Source organism: Homo sapiens, chromosome 10, assembly GCF_000001405.40.
Source record: "Homo sapiens chromosome 10, GRCh38.p14 Primary Assembly".
NCBI classification, from domain to species: Eukaryota; Metazoa; Chordata; class Mammalia; order Primates; family Hominidae; genus Homo; species Homo sapiens.
Genome location: NC_000010.11, coordinates 87,731,999 through 87,755,815, shown reverse-complemented (window position 1 = coordinate 87,755,815; position 23,817 = coordinate 87,731,999). Strand labels below are relative to the sequence as shown.

General features: G+C 39.8%; 2 protein-coding genes across 12 annotated transcripts in view, besides 1 other annotated feature; one reads left to right on the top strand and one right to left on the bottom strand.

Annotated features, from left to right (window-relative positions):
* ATAD1 (ATPase family AAA domain containing 1) overlaps positions 1-4,304 on the top strand; it is an 89,850-nt gene extending 85,546 nt beyond the window's left edge. For all 10 annotated transcript variants that reach the window (NR_135914.2, XM_005270252.6, XM_047425908.1 and 7 more), the window contains one exon: positions 1,009-4,304. Coding sequence is in view for 9 of the 10 variants with exons in the window: in XM_005270252.6 (XP_005270309.1) it covers positions 1,009-1,129 (121 nt within the window). In the remaining variant the exon portion in view is untranslated. The remainder of the gene's footprint in view (positions 1-1,008) is intronic.
* PAPSS2 (3'-phosphoadenosine 5'-phosphosulfate synthase 2) overlaps positions 8,111-23,817 on the bottom strand; it is an 87,828-nt gene continuing 72,121 nt past the window's right edge. For both annotated transcript variants that reach the window (NM_001015880.2, NM_004670.4), the window contains 4 exons: positions 14,446-14,581; positions 12,175-12,443; positions 10,585-10,814; positions 8,111-9,984 (listed from right to left, as the gene is read on the bottom strand). In NM_001015880.2, coding sequence (NP_001015880.1) covers positions 9,846-9,984; positions 10,585-10,814; positions 12,175-12,443; positions 14,446-14,581 — 774 coding nt within the window. In that variant the 3' untranslated portion in view covers positions 8,111-9,845. The remainder of the gene's footprint in view (positions 9,985-10,584; positions 10,815-12,174; positions 12,444-14,445; positions 14,582-23,817) is intronic.
* Positions 11,835-12,334: an enhancer, noted in NCBI's record as "H3K4me1 hESC enhancer chr10:89503239-89503738 (GRCh37/hg19 assembly coordinates)". NCBI's record gives its function as "activates a minimal SCP1, AML or CMV promoter by ChIP-STARR-seq in naive H9 embryonic stem cells {active_cell/tissue: H9 hESC(naive)}" and the evidence as "EXISTENCE:reporter gene assay evidence [ECO:0000049][PMID:30033119]".

Here is a 23,817-nt window from a genome sequence, read left to right as displayed (position 1 = left end):
TTCTCCTGTCTCAGTCTCAGCTGGGATTATAGGCGCCCATCACCATGCCCGGCTAATTTTTGTATTTTTAGTAGAGACGGGATTTCGACATGTTGGCCAGGCTGGTCTCGAACTCCTGACCTCAGGTGATCCACCCGCCTTGGCCTCCCAAAGTGCTAGGGTTACAGGTGTGAGCCACCGCTACTGGCCAGGTTTTTATTCTTATATATAAGATTAAGAGGAGAAATAACCAACCAGTTCGTAAATTTTGCTTAGGTAAATTACACTAATAATGAAAGATCTATTTTTTTGCTGCCTCAAAGCCCTGAAAACTGTATTTCAGTATGAAAAGTCTGGCTAGTTTTATATTTCCTGAATTTCATATTTTATAATTTTATATTTCAGTATGAAAAATCTGGATGGACTTGGGTTATAACTTTTTCCTGAATGTTTTTCCCTGAATATCTGTAAATTACAAGGGAGCCATAATATTCTGGACTTTGTTTCTCATTGAAGTAGGGAGGATTTGGATTAGTTGATTTTTACTGATAGTGAAGAATTTTACTCTCAATTTGTAAAAAGCAAAACATGCATGTAAGTATATACCTAGAAATGCTACTTTTTAATTACAGTTTTCATGGGAATAACGTGATTTTTTAAATTGGAATTATATTCCCATTTCAATAAACCATATAACATTTTTTACCTTATGGTAATATTGTGTACTTATAGATGTGAAGTCTTTGTAGCTATTTTAGCTTCCTACTTCTTAGCACTCAGTGCTTTTAAAAAATTCCTTATGATTTCTCTATGTGTAGATAATTCCTGGAAGCATTTACATGAAGCTGTTCATTGTGGTTGTCTTTGGGGTCTTGAATGGTAAAGAGATTTCATTTTTATACCCTTTTCTACAGTTGAAAACAAAATTTTTTTTTTACCACATGCATCTCTTTTAAATCTTGGTAAAATATTTTAGGGAGGCATATTCTAAAGTTATTTGAGTATTTGATGGTTTTGTTTGCATTTTAGCCATGACGAAGATGAAATTCGGCCTGTTCAACAGCAGGACCTGCATCGGGCAATTGAAAAGATGAAGAAATCAAAGGATGCAGCATTTCAGAATGTTTTAACACATGTTTGTTTAGATTAAGAGTAAAGATCATTTGTACAGTTCAGTGATCTAGTTTGGTGTGTCCTCTTATCAGTTAGTGGAAATAGAACGGAAAGAGTGCTCTTTAAACAATGAGGGAGCTCAGTGTTTATGGTTTTATACTCTGAATTCTAAGTTATTGAGATATAGTTGTTACATAGGTGGTATTACTGTTGGTCAAAAATCATGAGGAGGAACAGTTGAATCCAGCCTGAACGTGGGTGCTTGTGTTTGACCTTTTCAGCCATATATTGTACAGCCTTATAGAATCTAAGCTGGTCTTAAAGTCATAAATGATTCATTGGGTCATTAGTGAGAAACGGGGATGTGGTTAGGTGCTGGTTCCTAGACATGTGAGTATGCGTTTGTGTGTGTGCGTGTATGTATGTGTATATTAAATGTATATATCCACACATTTTATATTGACATTCTGTAGATATGTTTGAATATAGAAACTTTTTTTACCCCAACTACTGAATCCAGGAGTACCAAATAATATATAGTAAAACTAAGATTTAAGGTTGTGTCAAAAAGGTACAGTGATTCAGCCATTTCCATTTGTCATTTGTTTCAACCTTTTTTAAGTTGAGTGTTTTTATTTCTGCAGTTATTAGTTGGATCCTCCACATCTTGCATATATACATGGGCTCAATTATTATGTTTGTCAGGATAATCAAATGAAAATACTAGTTCAGTGATCAGCATTGAATGGTTGTTAGGCAGCCATGTGCTCAACACTGATTTCACCTCTTGAGTATAAACTTTTTAAATTTAAATTGGTTTACATGAAAGTGGATTAAAAGGCCTTTCAAAAGAATGGGTTTGAAAAACCTCAGTACCCTTTAATACATGTACATTTCTTTCCTTTTTTCATTTAATGTAACATGTCTGTTGTAACTATGTTTCTTAAATATTATTTTAAGGTTATGTGTTCTTTAATTATGGTCAAATATAATTTGGTCACCAAAAATGAAATAATAGTTTAAAACAAGTAGCTGTTACTAAGTGTGCTAAAAATACTCATTTTATAATTAATTTTAGTTTTCTTAGTATATTATTATAAATTGTGCCCTAAGTCAGGTACAAATGTACACATCAAAATGCCCATATTGTATCTATCTGTAGTCGTTTAATGTGAATTATATGTGAATTTTTTTCAAAATTTTACTAACCAGAATTCTGTTATAGGCACCTAACCACGCAGCATGAGGAAAACGGCACAACACAATCTTGAGGTGCCTTCTGAATCATCAGATTAAATTATGCTTCATATGTTTTTGCTTTTACTGTATTTCTTTAAAAACTCTAAATCTTTATTCATGTGTCACTGGATTAATTTATCTGATAATGTGTCTCACAAGAATCTGTTAGATCGTTTATTCTTCAGTTGTACTTTGAATGGTGGGGTGGAAGTTTCAGGTGAACAATGGATAACAAAAAGCAAGTTATGGAAGATTGTGAAGAGGATGGAAAAACTGAATACAAGATACCAAAAATGAAAAAAAGTGTCCCATTTTTAATAACTATATTCTATTATTTTATAAATGTGTAATAAAGGGGTCCCTCTTTATTGGTTGTTCTCCACTTAATCTTTGGTCTTTTTCAGTAATTTTAAGTTTTCTGGGATTTTTTTTGGTTTATAAAACTTGTGTTTAGACTTTATCTTGCTATGGAGTTTTCACACTTCTATAGCACATATCCTAGTATCTAGTCATTTCTGTTTTAATATGAATTTCAGTAATTTAATTTTAATCTGGTGACATATTAATCGAAAATAAGGAGTAATGTATACCTCCACATGTCCTTTCTTTTTGTCTTCTCTTAAATTCACAATATCCAGTAGGAGTGGTTATTCAATTTCTTCGTGGTTTTAATCATCAAATGAAGTTAGAGAAGTATACTAATCCCAGCAACTATGACTCATCTAGGCATGTTAAGACCATAAAGTAATTCAGGAAACTATTTTCCTGATTTTTAAATAACTTTTAGTGTTATGTAACATCTATCCTTCTGTTTTAGACATGCATTTCACATATAGTTGAATTCTAGATTCTAAGATAATTCATTTTGGGTAATACTTCAGAGTACTGGATCTAGAATCAGGCTTCCTGAATTTAAACTCAGGCTCCCCATTAACTGTGTGTCTGTGAGCCCAGTTTCTCATCTGTAAAATGGGGCAACAGTGGCACTCATCTTAAAGGGTTGGATAATAAAATAATGCATGTAAGGCCCTCAGCATAGTGCCTGGCACAGAATTACTGCTCAAATGTTAGCTGTCGTATTAATATTGTCACTTTTGCACACTGATGTACATTTCCTGTTGACCAGGCTCATTCTTTAAGCATTCTCCATGCTTAAACCAGTTCCATAATCCCTAGGCCTGTACTCCAGGGATTGAGACTGAAAGGATCATTTATGCCATGTTTCTCTAAAAGCATCATTGCTGGAAGACTTTTGATAAGTCTGATGTGTCTCAAGCTATTCTCAGGCCTTTTTTGTAGAGTTTAGAAATGAAGTATTTGAATCAATTTAGTATCTCCTTTACTATGTTTCTCCTTTTAATCTCAGCCAACCCCCTACCTGCAGGTAAACCCAGCATTCATTAAGAGCTGGGTTGGGGTACTCTATTCTGTATGCATCATAATAGCTTAACATTATTTAGTAGCTGTAACTTACAGGTTTAATGCTAGATGAGGATGTCTCAAGCCGTGAGTGTGCTTGTGTAAAAATGGTGGCAACATCATCTCGTTGGTAGGAATTTTTTACTTGAATTGTTATTTTGGGAAAATGTTAACAGATTTCTTCTGGATAAAGAAAATAAATTGGATGATGTATATTTTATGTTTCTTTTTAGCTTCTCTTAAAATCAGAATATTGAACAGAATTCTGATATGCTGAATATATATAGTGCATGGCTGAAACTCCAGCACCAACTGGGTGCTTCAAATGAAGTCATAGAATAATTCCATCTAGAGCTGACAGAAATCTTTCAGAGCCTTCATTATTAAATTTGTTATAGATTTAGTTATCAAAGATAGAGTTCTCTAATCTTTTTTTTAAAGCTAAAGTTCTCTTTATTTACATGTATAGGAAAACATTCTGCCTAAATCATGATGTTAATGAAAATCATATTGAGGAGAACTTGAACCTTATTAAATATGAGCTTCTAACATAATTGACTAAAATGTGATTGTCATATATGACACAGATGCTGTGTGCAGATGATATCAAACCTAAAACCACTTAGCAATGTGAGAAGAAACAGAAAACATCCCAGTTACCCTGGTGTAAAATTTATACTATTTATTAATGGCCGATAAGGGTCTCATTACTAAAACACTGAAGTGGGATTATATTTTTGTAATCGTCTAATATTTACAGTCATAAACCTGCATGAGAATACTTTCAAATACTAGCTTTTGTGCTTTTAAAATAGGTAACAGTGAATGTTAGTATTGGGTGTGGGATGCATCAGGGACACAGGTTTGTAAACCATGACAATTCAGTTGTAAAACTAAAGCCAAGTGCACCTGTAGTCCCAGCTGCTGGGGAGGATCACTTGAGCCTAGGAGGTGAAAATTGCAGTGAACTGATATTGTGCCATTGCACTCCAGACTGGGTGACATAGTGAGACCCTGTCTCTACAAAAAAAAAAAAAAAAAACCCTAAAGCCAAAACATTGAAATAAGTTACTGACATGCAAATTTGGAACTGAAACTAGAACACAGTGGTGTATATCTCACTGTTCTGAAAATACACAGTTTCCAGAAATTCAAAGAATGGCCAAGATAACTCAAATAGGGGATTGGCTATATCCAGTAAAACAAAATCACTTGCAGTCATGTCTAAGGGAGATGAGGGTCATCTGTTAGGCCATAGTCATAGACTTACAAAGAATACCAGTTAGGATTCTGTTTGTAGCAACCAACTCTAGCTAACCTAAGCAATAAAGAATTTATTTGAAGGATATAAGATCAAACGGAAGCTAAAGAACCAGACTCAGGATAGAAACTTAGCTCCCGAAGATTTTTTTAAGCAGAAATTGCTCAATAATCTTGCTTTTATTCATCATGGATTAAATTAACTCCAGCTGCTTAAAATGCCCATTCAAGATTTAAATGCCTGGACGTGAGTGTGCAAACCTAGGTCAGAAATCACCCCTGGCAGTCTTGGAGCTTTGAGAGGACTCTACAGGAACTACTTCGGCTTAAATGGTTTGAGGCAAAGCAGCTGGGTTTACTGATTCATCAAGACTAAATGTGAAAGGAGAGGTAATTTATTCAAAGGAAATTGTGGGAAAGACTGTTAGACAAACAAAATCTGACAAATGACCAGGTGGTTACTTGAAGCCCTGACATTGAAATATGTTGGGTGTTGGGTATATACTAAATGAAGGGCAATATTATAACAAGTGGACATGCTGGAAGTATGAGCAACTTACGTATGTAGTTTGTGTGGACGGGCCTTTAGGGACTGCTGCTTCAGATCCCATAAGCTCCACTTCCACTTGATGAATGCTGCTTGGCTTGCCCCACTCTGCCTAGATGGATGGTGAGCAACTTTGCATGGTAAGCAAAGGCTGTCTTGTGCAAATGAAATCTCTTAGGCAACAGCTATCAGAAGAATAGGTGACTGCCTGTGGTAGTCTCTGTTTTAGGGAGGTGTCAGAGCTTTATCTTTCTTTAGGCAGATAAAGGGCCTTCAGAGAGAAACCTCTGCTTGCATCCTCTGTTTAGTAAGGTGGATAGATGTAAATTTCCTTTAGAAATGGACAGCTTTTCAGAGCTATTCCTGCCTGCAGTTCTCAGAATAATCAACTTGAAATATGCCAAAGAAGTATATTCTGAGGTGGCATATTGTGGCTTCCCCTCATTCCATCAAACCTTTAGACATAAGAACAATTGACTGACCTGGTGCCTACCCAGTTTGCTGGTTTCCTGCCTATAAGGAAAGTTATGTTGCAGATCAGTGGTAGACCTGAAAGTCACATAATAGAAAAAAAGGAGGATAAGGAGAAAATGAATTGCTGTTCCCAAGTAATCGAGATTTGTTTCTTCTTGCAGGGAAGATGATTGGGAAAATATTGTGACCTGATAAAAGTGTTGATACATTTAATAAGGGTTTGCCACCATCTGACTAAATGATAACATATGCCTTTCAGAGTCTTTTCTGAAAAATATCCTGAAACAGTTTGGCATACTCCTTCAGCAACACTGACATCTTCATGTGTTTACGTAGACATATCCCGCCACTTTGCCGTACTAATTGGCACTAGGAGCCACCAAGTAACATGGGGAGAAAAAAGGGGACTACAAATGGCAGCTTTGAATTGGCTATTTACATCAGTTGTATTTGGGGTGAGGATCAGCAGCAAAAAAAATGCATGAAGCCTTTAGGATAGAAGGGAAGGAGGGACTCACGGAAAAAAGCTGCAGGCCTGAAGGCTGCTGAAAGTTTTGGTGGGAACAGGTAACCCTTTCTGCATTAGAGGTACAGGGGTTGCTGAGAGAAAAACCCAACTGCTTCCAGCCCTACTGGTGAAACTCCTTAGGGGCACTTAGAGAATAAGATCTGTGCCTTTGAAGTAAAGGGAACAAAGTAGCTTCATCTCAAAAAAAAAAAAAAAAACAAAAAACAAACACCTGTGATGAAGTTCTGGGCTAAGGAGGCCGCTGGACAACCCAGCAACTACCAAAAATGTCATTAAGTGCTTGGCTGAGACCATGTATCTTACACATCTAGAGCACAATTTAGAATATGACAAGAATAGGCTGGGCATGGTGGCTCACATCTGTAATCCCAGCACTTTGGGAGGCTGAGGCGGGCAGATTGCTTGAGCTCAGGAGTTCAAGACCAGACTAGACCACATGGCGAAACCCCGTCTCTGCCGAAAGAAAAAAACAACAAAAATTAGCCAGGTGTGGTGGCGCACACCTGTAATCCCAGCTACTCTTAAAAAAAAATTCTTCTAAAAAAAAAATGGATACATGTGCAGGACATGCAGGTTTGTTTCATAGGTATATGTGTGCCATTGTGGTTTGCTGTACCTATTGATCTGTCCTCTATGTTCCCTCCCCTCACCACCCCGCAACAGGCCCCGGTGTGTGATGTTCTTCTCTGTGTGTCCATGTGTTCTTATTGTTCACCTCCCACTTACTAGTGAGAATATGCAGTGTTTGGTTTTCTGTTCCTATGTTAGTTTTTTGAAGGTGATGGCTTCCAGCTTCATCCACGTCCCTGGAAAGGACATGATCTCATTCCTTTTTGTGGCTGCATAGTATTCCATGGTGCATATGTACTACATTTTCTTTATCCAGTCTATCATTGATGGGCATTTGGGTTGGTTCCATGTCTTTGCTATTGTAAACAGTGCTGCAATAAACGTGTACATGTGTCATTATAGCAGAATGATTTATATTTCTTTGGGTATGTACCCAGTAATGAATCCCAGCTACTCTTGCTTGAACCCAGGAGGCAGAGGTTGCAGTGAGCCAAGATTGCACCACTGCAGGCAAAAAAAAAAAAAAAAGAAAAACAAGAAAAAAGGCAGGGTGCAGTGAGCTTGTAATCCTAGCACTTTGGGAGGCCGAGGCAGGTGGATCACAAGGTCAGGAGTTCAAGAACAGCCTGGCCAACATGGTGAAACCCCATCTCTACTAAAAATACAAAAATTAGCCTTGCGTGCTGGTGCATGCCTGTAATCCCAGCCACTCAGGAGGCTGAGGCAGGCGAATCACTTGAATCCAGGAGGTGGAGGTTGCAGTGAGCCGAGATCGTGCCACAGCACTCCAGCCTGGGTGACAGAGCAAGACTTCGTCTTTAAAAAAATAAAAAATAAAAAAGACATGAATAAGGGTAAATAATCTCAGTTATGATGTTCAAGAGAGTTGCTGCTGTCTCACTCCAATTATACAAAGTCACAAAGCCCTTAAGTTGTGTGGTCAACCCACACCCAATGGTACAGGCAGAAAAAACTCAGCCTTCACTCTGATAAATTTATTAAAATAAGAACAAGCATCAGTTGTACATAGAAATAATCATTTGCACTAAGCATGGTACTAGAGCAGAAGAGCAGTTTTAAATGTATTTTTTAAGTCACAAAATATATCGGTTAAGGCACTATAATCCTGTCTCATGTTTTCAATAAATATGCTGGTTTTTTTTTTTAAAGGCAGTAGTGAGTAACCGATTACATGAGTATAGGCACTATACTATTAAAGACAAACTGCTGTGGCCATTGTGTGTAACTTATTCTCAAAAGAACTTTTGTTAGTTAAGATTAGTGTTTTTTAAGAATGAGAATATGAAAATTGTCACAGTTTTCTCTTTCTAATTTAGGTCTCTTCCAGAGAGACCTATATATTAAAAGGTGCTGTTTCTTCACTTTATTCCTTGGCAACAATGAATTATGCATAAAGTAAAAACATTGCCTCTCAGGAAGTAAAGCCATCAGAAGATGTCTCAGAACAGCTTGAAATCTTTGGAATAGCTTTTTTTTTTTTTCAACTGCAATAAAATCAGTGCAGTTCAGAAAACTCGACCTTTCAGTATCCGAGAAGGCAGCTTTGTAAGCACTTTCTGTTCGAGGAACTTTGTTAAGCAGCTGAGGGGAATCTGACCCAGCTCCTGTGTTGTCTGGTGTAGACAGGGCACCAGACTGGGAGTCAAGTGGCCTGGGTGCTTCTTCACTGCCACCAGCACTTCCTAATAATGGCAAATTTACATTTTGTTACGGTGCTCACAGCTTACAAAACACATACATGTGCATCATCACAGTTTGTTCACCTGTAAGATGAAAGGGTTGGATTCTTTGTTTTCTGTGGTCTTTTCCAGTTCTAGTGCCTTGCTAGTCTGATAGTGTGAATTATTTTTTATTACAGCTGGCGCTGCTGCTGCATCAGGGCCATCCTTTCTGCAAGACACAATGACCACAGCAAAGAGCGGGAAAGATAACTTTCCACGACATCGCCACATTGTTTGACGTCCTTTCATCAAATCACTGTATGCTATTAAAAGTCACCGTGTAACTGGAGTTACATTATTCACAGAGGCCATTAAGACTTCTCTTATTAGACAATATAACTTTTGTGACAGAAATAGGCTGCACAGATCTCTAAGATAAAATTCACGTTATTGCACATTTTGTTTCTCCAGTCAGGTCTTCAACACGTAAGATATGATTACAACATTAAGGCTTTGTACAGCATGAGGTAAAATATCAGGAAGAATCTTGATGTGAGCCACACCTCTTTTAGAGTGAGAAAAAAAAATTTTTTTTTTTGTCAATTGTACAGAAGAGGACACAATCTGATATATTTTACAACTGATAAATGACATTGGAAGAGTACAGGTTGTCAAGACATGCTGGAAAATATATTCACTTTTCAGCAAGTAACTAGACACATGGTCAAACAAAGCCTTAAGAAATCTGGGACCTGCCTGCTCAGGTGCAGTAGAAAATACATAGAGCTAATTTTATTATGAAATGTATAAGAATATTGCTTTTACCTGCTAAGATTTGGTCTTCAGTTTGACTTTGTATGTATATGTGTGTGTGTATATATATATATTTTTTTTTAATTATAGACACAACTTTTACTTCATTATAAAAGATTAAAATGCATCATTGAGAAGCAATTTAATACAAAGCATCTAATCATAAAAATAGAAAAGGTAATCAAAGAGCACTTCAGAAAGAAACTCTGGAGCCAAAGGCTTAGTTCTTCTCCAGGGACCTGTAATAATCTGTCAGGACCTTCCATGCTTTGGGGGCCATGAAGCCATCTGGGGGATTCTCTCCTTCCCGGGCGAGCTTCCTCATTCGAGTTCCTGAGATGAAGTCAAACTCATTGTGCCTGTTACAGGGTGGCAACAAAGAACTCAGTGTAGGTAAATGATATCTGCCTTAAGGATTCCTGGAGTAGGTTATGGTTTTTGAGACCCATGTTCTTTCTGTAAAATGCTGCATCTTCAAAAGTGGGCAGTCCTCTAAATCTTCAGGAACTTGCAGAAGAGAAGGGAAATAATGGCAGCTATCCATTTAGTATTTGCCATGCGCCTATACTGTTCCTGGGAAGTGTCTTGAGCCCAGAGTCTGTCTTCTGTTTCTCTGCCTACTTCTGTGAACCCTCAGCATGAGGAGCAAGTGCACCATAAATATTCATTGCAATCTCTTTCTATGTTGCTTCCTTTCACTTAGTGTGCCAGGCACTCTGTGCATGCTCAAGAATGCATGTTGAAAGAGAAATATTTATGGACCATCTACTATATGCAGAAGACTGTAGTACAATTTTAGGGGACATAAAATTTATAAGACCACGTCTTGACTCTCAAGGGACTCAGTCCACTTGGGAGCATGTGGCAATGCACTGGAGAGTTTTTCAAAGGGCCCAAATTCTGCCTCATCATTTCTTTTATACAGATGTTGATAAAAGAATTTTCCTCTGAAAACCTACCTTGCTGGATCATAGAAGTCCATGGCTTTTTTGGCTTTGTTGTAGGCAGCCACTCGGAATGGAATGATTTCCACAGAGGTGAGGCCAGGGGCCATGCTCAAGACCTTGCCCCCATGAGTGGGTTCATACAGATCCTTCTTGGTTTCAGGATGGGGCATTCCTGCAGGGTCCCTCCCCACAATGTAGAAATTGGCACCCGCAATCATCCGGGACCTGCAGTGCCACTGGACCTAGAAAATGTCCATAAGGGACATGCTGGTCATTGTGGGTCAAATCTGTAGGTCATGGTTTATGGAGACACCTTTATTCTACTTTAAAAGTAATTCAGCAATGTGAGTCAACTAAGAATTGCAAGAAAATCACTGAGGTTCTAAGACTCCGTGCACTCTTCATGCTTTGTTATATTAGGTAGGATAGGAGCTCTAAAGATAAGATTCCTCCCTCATAACTCAAGGTTGTATTTCCTCATCTCTTCTCCAAACAGGCTAGCCGGACAAGAACACTCAAATCTTACTATTCTACAGAACTATGTGGATTTTACTTTCCAGTGCCTCCCTATTCACAATAAATTGCAGTTTAAAGGAAATTACCAACTCTAGTATCTCATTATCTGACTGCCATTAATGAGCTAATTACCTTTCACACACAAATGCTGATTTCAGTTCAACATAACACTTACCCTCTTTAAAGCTCAGATAGCAATACAAAGGATGGAAAGGAGAGCTAGGGGCCTGGAACTTTTATCTGATTGAAGAGAATTAATTCATTAAACTCAGTTTGGGGCATTCCAAAGGGTTGAGACCCTTTCTATTCATCATACTTGCAGCCAGCTCGTTCAAATCCACTACACTGGTGGTGCAGTGGGACAAAGAAAATCTCTGTTTGATAAGCTCACTGTGTTATGATAAAAGGGTGACATTTATCTTTTAAAGATATCCTTTCCTAATGAAGCTCACAGGGCATGGAGAGTAACTGGAACTTCTGAAATTGAATATTAGGTTACATACAACTTGCCCTATCACCCAGTTAAGTTTCATTAGCCACCTCATTCACTTGCCAACTTCCATATTCTCAAAGGCAATGTATAATAGGTTTGATTTGATGTTTCTAGCATCTTTCTTTTTTTTTTTGAGACGAAGTCTCGCTCTGTTGCCCAGGCTGGAGTGCAGTGGCATGATCTCGGCTCACTGCAACCTCCACCTCCCAGGTTCAAGCGATTCTCCTGCCTCAGCTTCCCGAGTAGCTGGGATTACAGGGGCATGCCACTATGCCCAGCTAATTTTTGTATTTTTAGTAGAGACAGGGTTTCATCATGTTGGTCAGGTGGCCTCGAACTCCTGACCTTGTGATCTGCCCACCTCGGCCTCCCAAAGTGCTGGGATTACAGGTGACAGCCACTGCGCCTGGCCTTCTAGCACTTTTCAAATACTAAGTGGAAACATAATTAAGCTAGATAAAGAAGAGACACCAGAACATTCCAGAATCTGCTCATGAGGAAACAGAAAGGATCCCAGAGACTCATTTACTCTTCTATGTAAAGTCTGAGTCTGAATTCCTGAGTCTCAAAGCCCAGCTCTGGGAATTGCTCACCTCTGTGGGGCCAGCATATAACATGGGAGACGGAAAGATGGCAACAATGGTTGACTTGGGATCCAGGACCCCTTCCTCGAGCACAGCCGCGTGCTGCTTCATCCGCCAGTCTAGAGGCACATCGTCATCCTTGGTCCAGCCGCCCAGAGGGTGTAGTAGGAGGACCGGGTGCTTGTAGCCCCTCTCTAGGAGCCTGCGGCGAGTGTCCTGCATCAACAGGGCATGGCCATTGTGGACAGGATTGCGCAACTGGAATGCAAACACCGCATCTGGGAGAGGAAAGCAGAAGAAGGAAGGTCACAGAAACACATGGTGTCATTTCTCCACAAGAACAGAAAGGACACAGCTATGTTTATTGTTCTGTGCATTCATTATCCACTGGCTTTTTTTTTTTTTTTTGAAAGAGTCTCACTCTGTTGCCCAGGCTGGAGTGCAGTCAGCGATCTCAGGTCACTGCAACCTCCGCCTCCAGGATTCAAGCGATTCTCCTGCCTCAGCCTCCTGAGTAGCTGGGATTACAGGCGTGTGCCACCACACCCGGCTAATTTTTGTATTTTTAGTAGACTCAGGGTTTCACCATGTTGGCCAGGCTGGTCTCGAACCCCTGACCTCAAGTGATCCGCCTGCCTCAGCCTCCCAAAGTGTTGGGATTACAGGCGTAAGCCACTGCACCCAGCCTATCCACTGGCTTCTGATAATCAGCTGGAGAATACACCTGGGTCTTTAGAGGTGTTAATCCAGCACTAACCAACACCAGATAGCTGAGACAGGGATGAGATGCAGAGGCAGGAAGCTGCTTAGGGACAGCCTAACTCAGGAATGAAAAGATTTGTTGCCAGGACCTTTCCTGTACACCAAGGCTCAGGCAGGGCCAGTGTTAATTAGTCCTCTTGTACCAGGAAGCCTAGAGGGAGGTGAATAATTGTAACAAATGTTTTCTGGGGCCTGTGCAAGGGGCAACAATCTAAAGATATAAAAAAATTTTGCTTTCGCTTTAAAGAAATCTCCAAAACTACTCCACTTAGTGGTGGACTCCTGAGAGCCTTAATTTTTTTTTCTGATAATGAAATAATTTTTATGTCTATAGTATTGAAAATGAATACTTTCAATATTATAATGAAAAACTTGAGAAATACAGAAAAGCCCAAAATAGAATATAAAAATCACCAATCCTATTATTACTTTTTCTCCCTCTTTTTCAAAATGTATACAATAAAGAGTAAAAATCTCTTAGTCCAAACTCCATCCCCAAGAGGTAGCCACTGTAATCTGCAGTTTGGGGCATGTGCTGCCAGAGACTTTTCTGCCACTATGCACAGAAGTAGGTTAGGGATTTTAGAATTATGATGATATTTTATTTTGTTTTCCAGAACATGATTATGCTCTACATATTGTTCTGCAATTTGCTTTTTCACTTCATAAATACACTTCAGCTATCTCTATCAGTGAATATTTTAAACTGTTGAATAGCGTTCTAATATATGGTTCTAATATATAGTACAACTTTATAAAACTGTTTCCATATTATAGACATACCAATAGAAGATGTTTTCAGGTTATTTTTAACTATAAAAATGCTGAAGCCAGGCATGATGGTGGCTCATGCCTGTAATCCCAGCACTTTGGGAGGCTGAGGCGGGGAGATTGCTTGAGCCCAGGAGTTCAAGACCAGCCTGGAAAACATAGTGAGACCCATTTCTACAAAAAAATATAAAAATTAGCAGAGTATGGTGGCATGTGCCTTGTAGTCCCAGCTACTTGTGAGGTTAAGGTTGGAGAATTACTTGAGCCCAGGAGGTTGAGGCTGCAGTGAGCTATGGTCATGCCACTGCACTCCAGCCTGGGTGACAGGGTGAGACCTGTCTCTTAAAAAAGAAAATGCTGACTCCTGGTATCCTTAATTCTTTAATCAGAGGGTGGTAAGGGAATATTAATAAATGTACTAGGGGCCGGGTGCAGTGGCTCACATCTGTAATCCCAGCACTTTGGGAGGCCAAGGTAGGGGGATCACCTGAGGTCAGGAGTTTGAGACCAGCCTGACCAACATGTTGAAACCCTGTCTCTACTAAAAATACAAAAATTAGCTGGGCGTAGTGGTGGGCACCTGTAATCCAAGCTACTCAGGAGGCTGAGGCAGGAGAATTACTTGAACCTGGGAGGCAGAGGTTGCAGTGAGCTGAGATCGTGCCATTGCACTCCAGCCTGGGTGACAGAACAAGACACCATCTCAATAAATAAATAAATAAAATGCACTAAGAACAGTTTACATACCAGCATTCATTTCTTTACATTTCTGTTTGAGCTCCAGAGGTGTCAGACGGTATTGGTCCAGCCCATCATTCCATCTTATTTTCTCCAGCACCTGAAGGTCTCCACCAACCAGCCAGTCCCCACTTTCCATCACCATCTAGAAAGAACATTGTTATGATTGCTAATGATTAATTGTGATTTCTATTTTATCTGAAAAGTTTTCTCCTTTTAGACCAATCTCGGGTTACAGTTAAAGAACTGCCTTCAGTTCTTTAGTATTTCTGGCACAGTATTTCTCAAACTTTTTGGTCTCTAGAACCCGTTATGCTCTTAAAAAATTATTGAGTACCCCCCACCATGAGCTTTCATTTTTGTGGGTTATAGCTATCATTACTTTTCATATTAGAAATTTAAACTGAGAACCTTTAAAAATGTTTATCAATCCATCTAAAGCTAACATTAATAAACCTATTGCCTGTTAACATATATAACATTTTTAGTGAAAAATAAGCATTTTCCTCCCCAAATGTAGGGAAGTATGGTATTGTTTTACATATTTGCAATCTTTTTAATATCTGACTTAATAGAAGACAGCTGGATTCTCATATCTATGTCTACATTTAATCTGTAGTAATACATTGTTTTGGCTGAAGTATAAAAAGGAAGTCCAACTATAGGTAGGTAGCTGGAAAAGAGAAGAGGATTTGGATAGCCTTTTTGCACAATTATGGATATTCTTATCTGATACTACACCAAAACTCAACAAGTGTCAGTTTCTTAAAGGTTTAAGTTGGACTGTGGAATGGGCAGCCATATTAATGCACTTCTCATACTCTGTTACATTAAAAATCCATTGTGCTTTGGATGAATCATTTACCCATGAATGATTTTGCAATATTACATATTGGCCAATTAGAAACTATTAGTTCACTGTGCTTTGGATGAATCATTTACCCATGAATGATTTTGCAATATTGTATATTGGCCAATTAGAAACTACTAGTTCACTGAGTTTGTAAGTCTTCCAAGTGTTGACATATTTCATTACAGGATTTTTAAACACACACATGTGTTAATATCACTACTAGTCTCATCACACATGTGTTAATATCACTACTAGTCTCATCAAAAAGTTTTCTAAGTACTGGGAATCTGCCAAGCTTATGGTGGTGAATAAAAATTTTCCAAAAATATTTTGCTTGAAACCTTAAGATTTATCATTGGCAATGAATACTCTCAGCTGTTTTCCTTGAATTATCAGGTTCCCTTTGTCCATTTTGAAAAATATCTGCCGAATAGTCATATCTGAATAACCATAGTTTATCACTCATGCTTTCAAGTAGACATGGTGATCCATGAAAAAAAATAGTGGCTAGTATTGCTTGTAGCACAAACCACTGTGCAAGTACTTTTCCTTAAGACAACCATTGTACATTGGTATATGTAGCAGAAGTACTTTAATGTGTACTTCCTCTTTTGTAATGGAATACTAAAAAGACGGGGACTCAAGGGCCAAGATTTAATAATCGCTTTTACAGCTTCATCAAGAACACTCTTAGGTGAAGCTAGCATTGCTTTTACTGCAAGTGCATGATGATGAATAGTGCAGTGACTATGGACATAGTTGTCATTGTCTCGAGTCTAAAGTTACAGCAGTTTTAACCACTACTGCTTTTGTACCAGCAATTCAAATGTCAACACAGAGAAAAAGGCAAAGAATGTCTTAGTATTATGAACACAGTTTTGAACTTGGGGATTCTCTAGAAAGGTCTTGGGGACCCTCAGTTTTGTAAGCCATACTTGAGAACTGCTGCTAGTACATTCCTAATACAGTCTGATGTATCTTAGACTATTTCCAATGAAGACCTAAATTAGAGACCCTGGGGGAAAAATCGGACAACTTGTTTTCTTCCAGTTAATTATTGTTGGGCACAATTTCTATGGAAATTCTCAAAAGAAGCAGCCTTCTTCAATTATATCTGATTTTAAAACAAAAGGAAATCTCCAAAGCGCAGCAAAATGTAGCCAAATTCACATCTAAGGCTAAACATAGACTATTAGCTAAAACCCTATTTTTAAAAATAATCTTTGACAAGGGTACCAGGACCACTCAATGGGGGAAAGGACAGTCTCTTCAACAAATAATGTTGGGAAAACTGGATATCCACATGCAAAGGAATGAAGTTGGACCCTTATCTTACACCACATACAAAATTTAACTCAAAATGGATGAAACACCTAAAAGTAAGACATAAAACTATTAAACTCTTACAAAAAATATAAGGGAAAAAGCTTTATGATATTGGAGTTGGAAATGATTTATTAGACATGACATCTAAAACATGGGCAACAAAAGCAAAAAAAATTGCAACTACTTCAAACATATGTGCATCAAAGAACACAACAGTGAAAAAGCAACCTATAGAAAGAGAAAATATTTGAAAATCATATTTTCTGATAAGGGGTTAATATCCAGAATATATAAAAACTCCTACAACTCAATGACAAAAAAATTAACCCAATTAAGAAATAGGCAAAGGACTTGAATAGACATAACTTGAGATGATCTACAAATGGCCAAAAGCATGTAAGATGCTCAGCATCATTAATTATGAGAAATGCAAATCAAAACTACAATGAGATATCATCTCCCATCCATTAGGATGGCCACTATTAAAAAACAGAAAATGGCTGGGCACAGTGGCTCACGCCTGTAATCCCAGCATGAGCCAAGTTGGGTGGATTGCTTAAGCCCAGAGTTTGAGACCAGCCTGGGCAACATGGTAAAACCCCATCTCTTCATAAAATATAAAAATTAATCTGGCATGGTGGTGCATGCCTGTAGTCCCAGCTACTCAGCAGGCTGAGGTGGGAGGATCACCTGAGCCTGGGAAGGTTGAGGCTGCAGTGAGCCATGATTGCGTCACTGCACTTCAGCCTGGGTGACAGAGACACACACACACACACACACACATACACACACACAGAAAAGAAAAAAAACAAGTGTTGGTGTTGGTGAGGATGTAGAAAAATAAAAATTGGAACCCTTGTACACTGTTAGTGGGATTGTAAAAGGTGCAACCACTATGGAAAACAGTATGGAGGTTCCTCAGTGAATTAAAAATGGAACTACCATATGATCCAGCAATCCTACTTATGGGTGTATATTCAAAGGAAATGAAAGAGTCTTGAAGAAATATTTGTATCCTCATGTTCACAGCAGCACTATTCAAATAGCCAAGAGGTGGAAGCAACCCAAATGTGCATAGATGGATGAATGGGTAAATAAAATGTGGTATACACATACAAGGGAAGATCATTCATCCTTTAAAAGGAAGGAAATCCTGTCACATGCTATAACATGGCTGAACCTTGAGGACATTAGGCTAAGTGAAATAAGCCAGTCACAAAAAAGCAAATATTACATGATTCCACTTATATGAGGTATCTAAATTTCTATGAATTCTAGTCGAATTCATAGAAACAGAGAGTGCAATGGTAGTTACCACGGGCTGGAGGAAGGATGGTAGTTACCAGGAGCTGGAGGAAAGAAGAAGAGGGGAGTTGTTTTTGTTTTTGTTTGAGGCAGGTCTCACTCTGTCACCAGGCTGGCATGCAGTAGCTCACTGCAGCCTCTACCTCCGGGGCTTATGCAGTTCTCCCACCTCAACCTCCCAAGTAGCTGGGACTACAAGCATGCCACCACACCTGGCTAATTTTAAAATTTTTTTTTTGTAGAGACAGGTTCTCACTATGATAACCAGATAGGTCTCAACTCCTGGGCTCAAGCAATCCTCCAACTTCGGCCTTCCAAAGTGTTGGGATTACAAGCGTGAGCCACCATGCCTGACCGCGGGAGTTGTTTAATGGGTGTAGAGTTTCCATTTTGCAAGATGACAAAGTTCTGGAGATTTGGTTCACAACAATGTGAATATGCTTAACATTACTGAGTTGCACACTTACAAGAAGGTTAAGATGATAATTTTTATGTTCTGTTTTTTACCTTAATTTTTTTTTTTAGAGGAACCACCGTTTTTTAACTCACTGAGGATTTATTTCACTGAGGTTAGAAGCAATCACTTTTCTATTCCCAGTCTCAGCTGAAAATGTGACTTCAGGAAAGGGTGGGTGTGAAGAGCACCTGGAGACCTGCAGAAGAACCATCTTCATAGTGTCCCACACATTAGATGGCCCAACTCTGGCCCCCTTTGGTTGTGTCTATCTCATAAAGGCAAGGAGACCCTTGGTGGGAAGACCCACCCAGAGTCATCACCTACTCTTTTGATCATAATCAGGGTACCCAGAACTCTAGAATTTCCTGCCCAATCAACTCTGAGCTTGCTGCTAGGCCTGGGAGAGCTTCATCTCCCAACCTGTCTTTCCAGGGTGGACCACACACTCAGAGCAGCCCTACTTCTGAGGGCGGGCCAAGCAGGGAGGGTCTGCAGAGGTTGTGGAGAGAGCTCAGCCATGCAGCCTGGGGTGCCCACAAATCAATCCAGAGGACCCACATAGCATAGGAAGAGGCCAAGCATAGAAGGAGAAGGGAGAGTTGGTGAAAGGCCAAGGGCCAACTCTCCACACACTACCATATTCTGATGCAGAACCCAGAAGTCTATATTTGAACCTGGCTTTCCAGTTTGTGATTAAGGCATAGTTGTCAAAGTAGAAGGATCAAACACATTTTATTTAGCAGTTTGTTAGTTACACATGTAACTTTTAAATATGATGTATGGCTCTCCATTTGTATTCTTGCTCTGGGCCCCACAAATGTTAGGGGTAAGCCAGGGTTGAAGAATGGTGAAACTAATGAAAAAGAAAAACATGGTCGGGCATGGTGGCTCACTCCTGTAATCCCAGTACTTTGAGAGGCTGAGGTGGGTGGATCATGAAGTCAGGAGTTCAAGACCAGCCTGGCCAATATGGTGAAACCCTGTCTCTACTAAAAATATAAAAAATAGCCAGGCCTGGTGGCGGGCACCTGTAATCCCAGCTACTCAGGAGGTTGAGGCAGGAGAATCACTTGAACCTGGGAGGCGGAGGTTGCAGTGAGCCGGGGTCTCGCCACTGCACTCCAGCCTGGGCAACAGAGTAAGACTCTGTCTCAAAAAAAAAAAAAAAAAAAAAAGAAAGAAAGAAAAGAAAAACATGGCAACCTTTGTTTTTTTTCTATAAGTTTAAATATTTTCCATCTGGTATTGAAGTATAATCAATTACAGAGCTGTGTCTCTCCTAGTCACTGACACAAATACTTACAGCCAATCTCATTCCTCAGTCAAACATGTAATGGTTTTACAATCCTCCCCCTAATCAAACCCCAAGTACCTTTCACCACTTTCCAAATACAACTTGGTTACCTGAAATGTTAGCAGAGAAGAGGGAGGCAAGAGTGAGTGAGAGAAAGCTGATTTGAAACACCTAGTAGGAAGACACGAAGATAGTGATGGTGGACCTGGTTCACAGTCCCCATTATGGCCAGATATTGGGGTTTACCATGACCTGCATTCCAGAGAGGTTCAGGGAGTGGGGGATTGGGATAGAGCAGTGGCTCTAAACAGAGGCTGATTTAGTCACTCCTGGTGACATTTGACAATATCTGAAGATAATTTTGATTGTGATGACTGAAGTGCTATTGGCATCTGGTGAACAGAGGCTAGGGATGCTACTAAATATCCTACATTGCACAGAACTGCCCTCTCAGTGAAGAATTATCTAGTCCAATATGTCAACAGTGCTGAGGCTGAGAAACCCTGCGGTAGACAGAAGGCAATTATGCAAGGTTTTCGGTTGTGTTTTCATGGCCTCTTTTCTAAACTCTGTGCTCAGTCAGATAATTCAACAAGAACATTTTCAAATATCCATACCTATACATCTACTTTCTCCTCATTGCTTAGAGTTGGACACAGCACAATTTTGAGAACTGACCTCCAAACCCCTGAGGATGCAGTAATTTATTCTGGACACTAGGGGTCCACCGTATATTGCTCTATCTATTGGTGAAGGGGGCATCAAACCGAATTCATCCACCATCCAGCCTAAAAACCTGTCTGTTTGAAGAGAGATGTTAAAACTATGTGTTTGGCATTTCTGGGATGGGGAGGGACAAGGGGCATCTCTATCCCTAAGGTGGTCCAATTATCGCCAGAACTGTGTCCAGCTGTCAGGAAGGGAGATCCAGAGGCTCTGCTTAATTTCCCAGGGCTTTGTGGCCTAGAAGTCCCCACCCCCTTCCAAGCTTCCTGCCAAAGACAGCAGGGGGGCCACAGCTAGAGGATTTGCAGAACTAGATGCGCCAAAAGGAATGGGGAGCAGGCTTCAGGAGCCCAGTGAAGTAGCAAATAGGGAATTGGGCTCAAAATTACACACAAGAATGCATAAAGGAGAGGATAAGCTCAACCACTAGCGTAAAGACTAAGAAAGCTATGATAAATAGGCTCAAAGAGGCCAAGGAGAGGAAGACTCAAAAGAAACAATCTGGAGATGAGGGAATGCACTAATTGGAAAGGGAGGAGCAGCTGAGGGTGGGAAGGTGAAAAAGAATGCAAAAAGGGAGCAGAGAGAAGGGAAAGAAACCAGAAAGAAGGAAGGAAATGGTGGATTCAGCAAGATAAGGTCATGATGAAAGGGTGCAGAGAACAGAATCAAAGAGAAGAAAAACTAATGCCTACAAGAGGAGAATACATACATATATATATATATATATATATATATATATATATATATATATACACACACATTCATTTCTGTGCTATCAGTCATAGTCACAGAATCTGGGGCTTTAAGGAACCTGGAGGTAATGTAGATTTAATGTCCTCATTTTCAGAAGAGAAGGCAGTTTTACAGAGGGGAAGTGGCAGAGTTCAAGTGCACAGAGCTTTCTTACCAAAGCCAAGACCCAAATCTCAGACTCCTGCAAACCAGATTCTTCTCATCACTGCACCCACTGCCTCTCATCAGTGGCCCCCATATTGACATTTCAGCTTCACCTGTCACAGGTATGAAAGGGGCAAGTCCAAATTACTCTGGGAGGACAAAGAAGGGGCACTCAGTTATGCTCATGTGTCATAGGAGTCAGTGCTGACTTCTGAAAGGAGGTAATAAGGTCCGGAGGCAGAGGTGGAAGAAACAGTGTGCCAGGTTGAAGGATGAGTATGTGCAAAAGTCAGAGAGCGCATGATCGAATGACCAGCTCTGGAAGGACTGGACGAGGGAGTGTGTTGGCTGGTGGTGGCAAGAGGCTTTGCGGTAAATTGTATCTTAATAAAGGGGTTTCCAAAGAAAAGTTGAATAATTCACTCTAGCTAAAGAGTGGGAGATTATGGGGGAGTAAGACAAGAGAGAGGAAAGAATTGAAATGTCCTGACCCAAGATGGAATAGAAGAGGAGTGAATGAATTCAAGCAATAACTGAAAGCTACATTTGGCAGGACGTGGTGACTGAATGGACAAGGGGAGAAGAGAGAAGCAAGAATGGCATCCAGGTTTTGGTCACAGGCCACCATTTGGATGGTGAAGCTGTCACTAAGATAGGAGACATAGTAGGGGGAACAGGCTTGGGGGGAGGTTAAACATGTTGAGTTTGAGGTACTTGCAGGATATATGCAGGTGGGGCCCTAAAGAAAATAGCTCCAAACAATTATCTAACTCAATAGTTCTCAACCTTCACAGCCCATTAGAATCACGGGGAGCTTTAACTACCCACCCCTCAATAATCAGATCTGACTCAAAGCCAATTAAATGAGAATCTGTGAGGATGGGATCCAGTCATGGGTGATTTGTAAAGCTCCTCAGGTGATTCTGTTGATATAACTAACCATATGGTTTTCATTGTGGAGCTAAAGGCTATAAACTCTCATTCCCATCTTTCATTGAGAAGTCATATTCTGTTCTCTTGGTTTGTACAAGAAAATGTAGAGTGCAAAACAGGAGTAATGATTCTTACTTTCCTCACCAAGAGCATTGTGAAAAATAATTACTACTTGACAAATCTCTGGGAGCCATGGACGAAAGGCAACAAAGCCCCAGCAAGCATTAGTTTTACAAGTTTCACCTGCTCCTCCTGATGATTTCATTTGAGCGCATGTCACACGGTTCTATACTTAGTGATGCCAAAGAGAGGGCTGGATGCCTTGAATGGAAGGTCAAGAATGACGTTGGAGATAAGCTCTGTAACAAAGGCAGACCATTTCCTAGTGACTCTATTTTCCTTGCAAATATCACTCCCAGTGCCACATGGAAATAGAATAAGGCCCAGGATTCCCGCAGAAGTAATTACTTTTGGAAGCTGTGGGGTTCTAAAAACCTGTGTTAAAGTGTTTTTGTGGGTTTCAGAGTGCTAAAAAAGGACACAGCAAAAAGAATTATTTTGCCAATAAAACTTGTGTGTTTGGTACATGCGACAATCTTCAACAATCTTCATCAATCTCTCTCACTTTTGCACAAAATGTCTGCAGGGTGAGTGGCTTTCTCTCTCTGGTTATCCAAGGCTCATTTCTCACCATTAGCTCCCTGGGAATGTTTATCGAGTCCCCCTAATAACCTAAAGGTATAGAATCACTGAAAATATTGTCAAAGACACAAGTCATGCCACCATTCTCCTTGGCTTCTAAGAAATTCTAAAATTCTGAGTTCCATCTGCCAGCATGCATTGTAAGGCATGATGAAAAAAATACAGGCATACCTGAGAAACATTGCAGGTTCAGTTCCAGACTACTGCAATAAAGTGAATATTGTAATAAACGGAGTCACACAAATTTTTTGGTTTCCCAGTGCATTTTAAAAGTTATGTTTACACTATACTGTAGTCTATGAAGTGTGCAATGGCATTATGTCTTTAAAATGTAATATTATCTAAACTTTTTTTTTTTTTGAGAAAGGGTCTCACTCCTATAGCCCAGGTTGGAGTGCACTGATACAATCACAGCTCACTGCAGCCTCGACTTCCCAGGCTCAGGTGATCCTCCCACCTCAGCCTCCTGAGTAGCTGGTACTACAGGTGTGCACCACTATGCCCAGCTAATTTTTTGTATTTTTAGCAGGGAGAGGGTTTCGCCATGTTGCCAAGGCTGATCTCAAACTCCTGGGCTGAAACAATCGGCCTCCCAAAGTGTTGGGATTACAGGGTGAGCCACCGCGCCCAGCCTATCTTAATTTAAAAATACCTTTTTGCTAAAAATGTTAATGATCCTCTGAGCCTTCAGAGAGTTGTAATCATTCTCCTGGTGGAGAGTCTTGTGTTAATAGCTGCTGACAAATCAGGGTGATGGTTGCTAAAGTCTGGGGTGGCTGTGGCAATTTATTAAAATAAGACAACAATGAAGTTGGTCATATCAATTGACTCTTTCTTTCATGAAAGATTTCTCTGTAGCATGAGATGCTGTTTGATAGCATTTTA